General features: G+C 37.0%; 1 pseudogene; it reads left to right on the top strand.

The window, feature by feature from the left end:
* On the top strand, positions 8,321 to 9,413 carry LOC100533632 (zinc finger protein 736 pseudogene; annotated as a pseudogene).

Below are 10,310 nucleotides of genomic sequence, written 5' to 3'. Positions count from 1 at the left end.
CCGTTATGGGCTGATCCCAGGCAGGAGAAGAGAGTCATATTATCTAGGTGATTGGTGAATAAAATATTTCAAAACCACCTCTGAGAGATTGGCCTGGGCAGGAGAGTCCCATCACCTATGTGCTTGGCCTAGGTATATGTCACAATCCCACATTTAGACTGGACCAAGGCAGAAAAGTAAAATCAATCCGGTGCTGGGCACCTCTTGTGAGTTCTGTCCAAGTACCTAAGTCACAGTCTCAACAATGGACAGGATCTGTGCATGACAGCCCCAACCTCATTTGCAAGCAGTGTCCTAATAGGGGACACACAGCCTCACAAGGGTGTTTGATCTTGATTCAAAAATCACCGTCTTACCCGTGATCTGGATCCATGTATGAGAATCACACATCCAACTTTCAATTGCCTCCAGCTGTAAGATTCAGAACATTTTGTAAATTTTGTTTATCTTTTCAAAAAAACTAACTTTTCATTATGTTTATCTTTTCATATTTTGTTTTATATTCATTTATTTCTGTGATAATTTTTATTTTCTTCTAATTTTGGGTTTGGTTTGCTCTTTTCTAGTTGTATATGATACATCAATAGTTTATTTGGAGATTTTTTTAAAACTGTTTTTGATGTAGGCACTTATTGCTATAAACCTTCTAAGTGATTCTTTCACTCTATTCATAGTTGCGTTATGTTTTTATTTTCATTTTGTTCAAGAACATTTTAATTTTTTCTTTCAGTATGGGCCCACCAGTCACTCAGGAGCATATTTCAATTTCTATGTGTTTGTATAGTTTCCAGAGTTTTTTCTGTTAGTGATTTCTAGTTTTATTCTATTATCATCAGAGAAAATACTTGATATAATTTTATTTTGGGGGGAGATTATTTTAAGAGTTATTTTGTGACCTAACATGTGGTCTATCCTTGAAAATAACCCAGGGGCTGAGGTGTAGAATTTGTATTCTGTAGCTTCTTGATGAAACGCTTTGTAAATATCTATTAGGTCTGTTTGGTTTACAGTGCAGATTAAGTCCAATGTTTATTTGTTGATTTTACTATCTGGATGATCTGTCCACTGCTGAAAGTGGGTTGTTGAAGTCTCTAGCTATTATTGTATTGGGGTTTGATCTCTCTTTATCTCTAATATTTACTTCATATATCTGAGTTTTCCAGTGTTAGGTGCATATGCATATTAATTTTCAATTGTTATATTCTCTTGCTGAATTGACCACTTTATTATAATATAATAACTTTTGTTGTCTCTTTTTATGGTTTTTTTCTTGAAATCTGTTTTGTTTAATGTAAGTGTAGCTATTCCTGCTTTTTTGATTTCTGTTTGCATGGAATATCTTTTTCTATCCCTTCATTTTCAGTCTGTCTTTGTCTTTATAGGTGAAGTGTGTGTCTTGTAGGAAACAGATTGTTGGGTCTTGTTTTTATTTTTACCCACTTGGCCAATCTATGTCTTTTGATTGGGGAGTTAAATTAATTTATATTCAGTGTTAGTAAGTAAAGACTTATGTCAGCCATTCTGGTATCTGATTTCTTGTTGTTTTGTGGTATTTTCTCTTTCTCTCTCCCATTCATCCTGTCTTTCTTTTAGTAAAGATGATTTTATCTACTGGTATGTTTTCATTTTTGATTTTATGTATGTGTGTCTATTGTAAGTTTTTTATTTGAGGTTACCATAAGGCTTGCAAATAACATCTTATAACCCATTATTTTAAACTGATGGCAACTTAACACTTACTGTAAAAATGAGCAAACGAGCAAAGAGAAAAACTAATAAAAAATACAGTTTAACTTTTTCTCCCAACTTTTTAACATTTTGTTGTTTCTATTTATATCTTATTATACTGTCTATGTCTTAAACTTGTTTTAATTAGTATTTTGGATAACTATGACAGTTATCTAAAAAGTCAAAATATGAGTTATGGCCTTAAAAAGGAGGTAGAGAGTTATTATTTTTAATAATTTTAAGTATAGGCAAATCTTTTAGTCTTCTCAAAATATGAATAGTTTACACGCCACATTTACGGTGCTAGAAAATTTTGTGTTTGTCTGTGTGCTTCATATTACCAGTGAGTTTGGTACCAGATGTTTTCTTGTTGCTCATTAATGTTCTATTCTTTTAGACTGAAGAACTGCCTTTAGCATTTTTTGTAGGACAGGTCTGGGGCTGTTAATAAAATCTCTCATCTTGTTTGTTAGTTGTTTTTTTTTAATAGTTGAAGTATATTTTTGCTGGGTGTATTCTAGGATAAAAGTTTTTTCCTTCAGTATGTTAAGTATGTCATGTCACCATCTCCTGGCCTGTAGGATTTTCACTGAAGAGTCCACTGTCAAACATATTGGTACTTGTTTGAATGTTGTTTTTTTTCTATTGCTGTTTTCAGAATCCTTTATCTTTGACCTTTGAGAATTTTATTATTAAAGACATTCAGGTGGTCATATTTAAGTGAATTGTGCTTAGTATTCTACAACCTTCTTATACTTGAATATTAATTTTTTAGGTATGGGAAGTTCTCATTATACCTTTGAATAAACTTTCTACCCAGAACTTTTTTTCTACCTCCTCTTGAAGGCCATAACTCTTAGCCCTTTTGAGGCTTTTTTTTAAATCTCATCTGACTGTATCTTTTCAAATAACCTGTGTTCAAACTCACTGATTCTTTCTTCTGCTTGATCAGTTCTGCTGTTGAGAGACTCTGATGCGTTCTTCAATATCATTTAAATTTTCAGAACCAGAATTTTTGCTTGATTCTTCAAAATGATTTTAATCAATTTGTTAAGTTTATTGGATCAGATTCTGAATTTCTTTTTTTTTGTTGTTATTTTGAATTTTGCTGAGCTTTTTCAAAACAGCTGTTTTGAATTTCCTGTCTGAAAGGTTACATATCTCTGTCTCTCAGGATTTGTACACTAGTGCCTTATTTGGTTTTAATGAGGTTATGTTTTCCTGAATAGTCTTAATTTTTGTGGATGTTCATTAATGTCTGGGCATTAATAAGTCAGGCATTTATTTTAGTCTTTGCATTCTGGGCTTTTTAATACTTGTCTTTCTTAGAAAGGCTTCCCAGGTATTCAAAGGGAATCGAGTGTTGTAATCTAAGTCTTTGATCATTGCAGTCATATCTGCATTAGGGGACACCCCAACCTGAATAACACTGTGATGCTTGCAGACTTGTAGAGGTACCACCTTGGTGGTCTTAGGTAAGAACCAAGAGAGTCTCTGGGTTACCAGGCAGACTCTTTTTCTGTTTTTTTACATTCTGTCAAATAAGTGGAATTTTCTCTCCATACTGAGCTGCCGGGGGCTAGGGTCAGTGAAACACAAGCACCCCTGTGGCCACCATCACTAGGACTACACTAAGTCAGACCCAAAGCCAGCACAGGACTGGCTCTCACATAAGGTCCACAGTGACCACTACCTAGGTACTGCTGATGTTCACTCAAGATCCAAGTTCTCTTCAGTCAGTAGGTGGTGAATCCAGCCAGGCTTATGTCCTTGCCTTCAGGGCAGTGAGCTCTGTTACTCATCCTGGGCTGGGGATAGCAAAATGCCATTTGGTAGGAAGAACATGGAGTCAGAAGCCTTAGGAATCTACTTGTTGCCCTATTCTGCTGTGGCTTAGCTGGCACTGAAGCCATGAGACAACATCCTTCCTACTCTTTTCTCTCCTTTCTCAAGCATAAGAAGCCACTCCCCATGGTCACCACCACCCAGAGCCCACAGTAAGTACTTCCAGGCTACTGCTGATATCCAGTGAGGACCCAAGGATCTTGCGTCAGCTTGTGGTGAACTCTGCTGGGCCTGCTTCTTTTGCTTCAGGGCAGTGGGTTCTTTTCTGGCCCAGGGTGGTTCCAGAAATGTCATCCAGGAGCCAAGGCCTGAAATCAGTGACCTCAGGAGCTATCTTGTTACTGCTACCTCACTATGGCTGAGCTGGTAATCAAGCTTCAAGACAAAGCCTCTTTTACTCTTCCCTCTCTTTTCCTCAAGCAGAAGTCTCTCCACATGGCTGCCACAGCTTGGATTGCACTGCACTGGGTCTCACACCCCAGGGGCTGCAGCAAGTACTACTTGGTTACTGCTGATGTTTATTCATGGCCAAAGGTGATGAATCCTGCCAGAACTGGTACCTTCCCTTCAAGGCAGTGTGTTCTCTTCTGGCCCAGGCTATGTCTAGAACTGTCACCCAGGAACTAAGTCCTAGAATGGGGGCCTCAGGGCTTTTTCTGGTGCTGTATTCTACTGTGGCTGAGATGATGTCCAAGTTGCAGGACAAAGTCTTCTTTACACTTCTCTCCCCTTTCCTCAAGTAGAAAGAAAGATTTTCTCCTGGAGCTGTGAACTACACTGCCTGTGCCTGGGGTAAGGATGATGCAGGCACTTTCTTGGCCATCCCAGTTGGCATCTCACAGAGCACCAGGATTTGCCCAGAAATTGCAGTCCCAGTGGCTTACACTGCCTTTCAGGTTTATTTAGAACCCCAGAGCGCTTTAGCCTATGGTGATGGGGCTACCTGAAACTCAGGTTTTGATTACTGAAATGGACACTTCCTCTCTGACTATGGCTAGTCTGAGTGCTCCGTCTGTAGGCTCTGGCTGAATTCTGCCCCATGTTGCTTTCTGCTATGACAGGCAGCTCTGAGTTTTACTGCACAGTCTCATAATCACTGCACTCTCCCTTCTGTAAGCACATGGATTTTCTCTCTCTGCCAAGCTGCACTGCCAGGGAATGGAGGAGGGCTGCTGTTGGCAATTAACAGCTTTCTTGTTTACCCTCCTCAGTCCCTCTTTCATGTGATGCTAAAACTAGGTCCTGTGATCGCTCCCCAGAGTTTTGGTTCTTATGAAGATGCTTCTTATTTGGATAGTCATTCTATTTGGTGTTTTATTCGGGGGATGGTTGCTGGAGGGTGCTATTAAGTCATCTTGCTCCTCTTCTCCCCTGCAGCCATGTTGTTTGAATTAAGTGCCACATGTGAGGCTAAGGTGAGCCCAGCGTCAACCACAAGTGTTTTCAGATACATTCACGAGAGGTGAGTTTAGTTTTAGTCCCAGATAAAGATCATAGAGACTGCTCTGCTTGGGTTTGGTAGGGGCAGGTCAGTGCGGCCCGTATTCCCATTGCTGCAGTAGAAATTGCTGGCATCTGTGGCAGAGAAGGGCAACGAGTACTGGAAAGGGGAAACTCACATTTTGTTTTTATGTAGGAGTTTACTGGTTCTGAACCTCTCCTGTGATAAAGGACAAAGAAAGGCAGACTTTATCTGCAATTCTAGGTCCTTCTGCCTGTGGGTGTGGCGGTTTCAAGGGAAGGAGTTTCACTGATGCTTCAAAGGCGTATTCTCAAGAAACAGGTTTAATTTGTGCAGTTAGTCACACCTGGAAGGGATCACAGATCCATCTTTATTCTCTACATCCCAGCTCTTAATAAGCCATGAAAAAATTGTCACCATGAATTTATAACCTGCAACATTACAAATGTTCCTTTTGTGGCTGTAGAACATAGAAAGATGTGGATGCCCAAGATTCTTGTTTGAGATGGGATCAGGTGCTTGGTTATCAGTGAAGGAGACCATGTACTGTTTAGCTTCCATTAAATCTATGCAAAACTGCTTGTAAAAACACACATTTAATGAGAATGGTCTTTATTGCCCAGGATAACTCAGAAAGTTCTAAATAAAAAATAATTAGAAGAGACTTCTTCTCTAGGATGCTAAAGCAAGGAAATAAGAGAGGATACAAACAAATGGAAAAAAATTCCATGCTCATGGATAGGAAAAATCAATATCATGAAAATGACCATACTGTCCAAAGTAATTTATAGATTCAATGCTATTCCCATCAAGCTACCATTGATTTTCTTTACAGAATTAGAAAAAAACCACTTTAAATTTCATATAGAACCAAAAAAGTGCATATAGCCAACACAATCCTAAGCAAAAAGAACAAAGCTGGAGGCATCATGCTACCTGACTTCAAACTATACTACAAGGCTACAGTACCTAAAAGAGCATGGTACTTGTACCAAAACAGATAATGTAGACCAATGGAACAGAACAGAGGCCTCAGAAATAATACCACACATCTACAACCATCTGATCTTCGACAAACCTGACAAAAACAAGCAATGGGAAAAGGATTCCCTATGTAATAAATGGTACTGGGAAAACTGGCTAGCCATATGCAGAAAACAAACCGGACCCCTTCCTTACACCTTATACAAAAATTAAGTCAAGATGGATTAAAGACTTAAATGTAAAACCATAAAAACCCTAGAAGAAAACCTAGGCTTCAGGACATAGACATGGGCAGAGACTTCATGACTAAAACACCAAAAGCCAAAATTGACAAATGGGATCTAATTAAACTAAAGAGCTTCTGCACAGCAAAAGAAACTATCATCAGAGTGAACATGCAGCCTAAAGAATGAGAGAAAATTTTTGCAATCTATCCATCTGATAAAGGGCTAATATCCAGAATCTAGAAGGAACTTAAACAAATTTACAAGAAAAAAAAAACAACCCCATCAAAAAGTGGGCAAAGGATATGAACAGACACTTCTCAAAAGAAGACCTTTATGCAGCCAACAAAGATGAAAAAAAGCTCATCATCACTGGTCATTAGAGAAATGCAAATCAAAACCACAATGAGATAGTATCTCATGCCAGTTAGAATGGTGATCATTAAAAAGTCAGGAAACAGATGATGGCTTGGATGTGGAGATACAAGAACACTTTTACACTATTCTTGGGAGTGTAAATTAGTTCAACCATTGTGGATGACAGTGTGGCAATTCCTCAAGGATCTAGAATCAGAAATACCATTTGACCCAGCAATCCCATGACTGGGTTATAAATCATTCTATAAAGACACATACACTTGTATGTTTATTGCAGCACTATTTACAATAGCAAAGACTTGGAGCCAGCCCACATGCCTATCAATGATAGACTGGATAAAGAAAATGTGGCACATAAACACTATGGAATACCATGCAGCCATAAAAAAGAATGTTCTTTGCTTGGATATGGATGAAGCTGGAAACCATCATTCTCAGCAAACTAACACAGGAACAGAAAACCAAACACTGCATGTTCTCACTCATAAGCGGGAGGTGAACAATGAGAACACATGAACACATGGAAGGGGAACATCACACACTGATGGCTGTCGGGATTGGGGGCAAGGGGAGGGAGAACATTAGGACAAATACCTAACACATGTGGAGCTTAAAACCTAGATGACAGGTTGATAGGTGCAGCAAACCACCTTGACACATGTATACCTATGTAACAAAACCACACGTTCTGCACATGCATCCCAGAACTTAAAGTTAAAAAAAAAAGTTTAACCAAAAAAAAGAAAGACTTATTTATATACACCATTAGAGATTACAGAACATGGAAGATATTTGTAGCTTAAATTTTTGCTCAAAACTGATGTTTCTTCATGACTAGACTCAGATTAAGTTCACCCTTTTTTGTGTTAATGTTAATAATAGCACAGTAGTGTCATATCCTTCTTTGTTAATCAGCACCTGATACAAATTTCTTTTAATGTAGTTGATCTTCATTTATTTACTTGGTAAATATGCTCTTTGACATATTTTTTTCACTCTAGAGTTACTTATTTTACTCTTTATTTTTAATAGGTACCTTGGGGAGTTTTATCAAGTGATGTGCAAAAACAAGATTAAACCACATTTAATCTGAGAGCTCTTCTTCTTACCTTCTCTTTGCATATCGCTTCCTATGGAAAGTGAAGGCTCTCGTCTTTCTTTACTGGTCAAATAAACTAAAAACCTAGGCTGTGCCACTTACTGAATTTTTGACAAAATATTCTCCTTGGGCCAGAAGCAGTGATACCACTGGCAAACTATCAATTCAAAAACTCAAGCTTTACCCTAGATCTTCAGAGTCAAAATCTACATTTTAACAAGATCTCCTGTTAATTGATTTGAGAATAAGATGTGAGAAGTATGCTTTTAACTCACCATGAAGTTTCCATATGGGAAGTATAGACAACTCATCTTATATTATGTAAATATAGCATTAAGAAATGTACATACCTGTGTTAATGTCCTTTATTTAAACTGTATCATCAAGAAAAGTATTGCACATACACTGGTTTCATGATCTTATGCCACCTTTTCTCAGAGTTAAAAATACATTAGAGAATATCTCTGTGCTGGAAAGTATCCTATTGGATAACTTCAGTAACTCATGTAAGTCAGAACCAGCTCTCTTTACTCTCATTTTACCTGACGTCAAATCAGGAGTTCTTTCTATGGTCACTTGGTAAATATGTTTTGTTTTCCAGGGAGTGTTGACATTCAGGGATGTGGCTGTAGAATTCTCCCCAGAAGAGTGGGAATGCCTGGACTCTGCTCAGCAGCGTTTGTATAGGGATGTGATGTTGGAGAACTACAGAAATCTGGTCTCCTTGGGTGAGAATAACTTCAATATACAACTCATATTCTACATTAAATATTTTATTCTGGTTTTTTTTTTGGAAGTTCTGCTTTGCATAAGTGAGTTCCAGAATCCTGCTTCAAAAAGAAAAAATTGGGTATCTGTTCAGGTAGAAAATATAATCTTTAAGATGTTTCATCTTAACATTAATCTTTCCCTTTTTTGAGCTCATCTGTGTAGAGTCTAAATTAGTGGTAATATCAGAAATTTAATGCATAAAATATTGTTACCCACACCTAAAAATGCAATTTTCACAACTGACTTTTGATTCAGTATCACTGGGTAATAGAGCTAAGAACCCACAAATTTAAAATACTTTCTAAATATTCTAAAGTTTATGTTAGTAAACAGTAGATTGGAATTAATTTTCTAGAGTCTTCTATAATGTTCTTTCTTCTCTACTGAGCATAGTACTAGATTAGTAATCGGATTATCCTAGCAAGAGTCATGTTATTTTTTTCTAATAAAACAGGTCTTGCTATCTTTAAGCCAGACTTGATGACCTGTCTGGAGCAAAGAAAAGAGCCCTGGAATGTGAAGAGACAGGAGGCAGTAGCCAAACACCCAGGTAGGTGGGAGTGAATGAAGCAAATGACACAAAAGACGGATCCCAATGTCAAGGAGGAAGCCAGACCTTTAAACGTGCTTCCAGAAGCTCTGCTCCAGTGGAAATCATTTCTGGGAAGCCTTCATTTCTTTCTCTTGCTTTAACATAGGGACATTTTTTGTCCCATTCTTGTGAATTTTCCAAGCACTGTACTTCACCTTCAGTAATGTATTTTGTTGTTGTTCTTGCTGGTTTTTTTTCTTTAAGTTTACAGTGATAATGAAAGTTGTTTTCATGGCTTAAAAGAAAATGTGTGATTTGACTGCTTTTCCATTGCTTGGGAGAAACAGCAATATCTGTATTTTTGAGAAACTCTATATTAAACCATTTTTTAAGTTCTCTTTTCGGATAATGTCTAAATATATAAGTTTTGGTGATGTTGCAGTTTGGATCAGAAATCCCAGGAACACCACAAAAAGATGTGTGCTTCCTGCTTTATAATTTTCTATTCTATGGAGGCTTCAAATGTGATTTTATGGGAATTTATACTCAGTAATTATATCAAAACACTAAGCATCTCCCTAAATGAAACAAACTCTAAAATTGTGTTACTTCAAATGTTATTCTTTTCATATAAACAAATGTTCGTAAATGTGGCCAAATTCCTCAACTGTAATATAGTTCAGTGTATCTACTTCATACATTTATTAAATATACTATGTCATTGGAGAGCTTGAAACATTGCTGAGTACATATTAAACTCTCAATTTTAACTTTATTTTAAATGACATCATTTTGTGATTTTATTTAGTATAAAGCTTACTGTGACTGTCATTCATATGTGTGTATATATATAAACACGTGTATATATGTATGTGTATGACACACATATATAATCTCAGTAACAAATGTTTTTCACAAATTGAATACCTATATAGTGTATACAGTGTATTGATTTTATATCTGTATACATAATGAAATGATTAATGCAATCAAATTAGTGAACAAACACATTTATGACCTTACTTACTTACCTTTTTTGTAGTGAGAACAATTAAGATCTCAGCAAATTTTCAGCATGCCTAACAGTATTACTTTCTATAGTCATAAAGCTGTACCTTAGGCTACCATAACTTATTTGTCTTTTAACTGAACATTTGTACCATTTGAACAACATATCCCACTTTCCCCACCTCCACGGCCTAGCACTCATCTCTGTACTCTCTTCTTCTAGGAGTCCAACCTTATTATATTCTCCATAGAAGTGAGATTATACTTTCTGTTTCTTTC

This window comes from Homo sapiens, chromosome 7 (genome assembly GCF_000001405.40).
Source record: "Homo sapiens chromosome 7, GRCh38.p14 Primary Assembly".
NCBI lineage: Eukaryota > Metazoa > Chordata > Mammalia > Primates > Hominidae > Homo > Homo sapiens.
The sequence above is the reverse complement of the archived record's forward strand: the minus strand, read 5'-3'. Positions and strand labels throughout refer to the sequence as shown.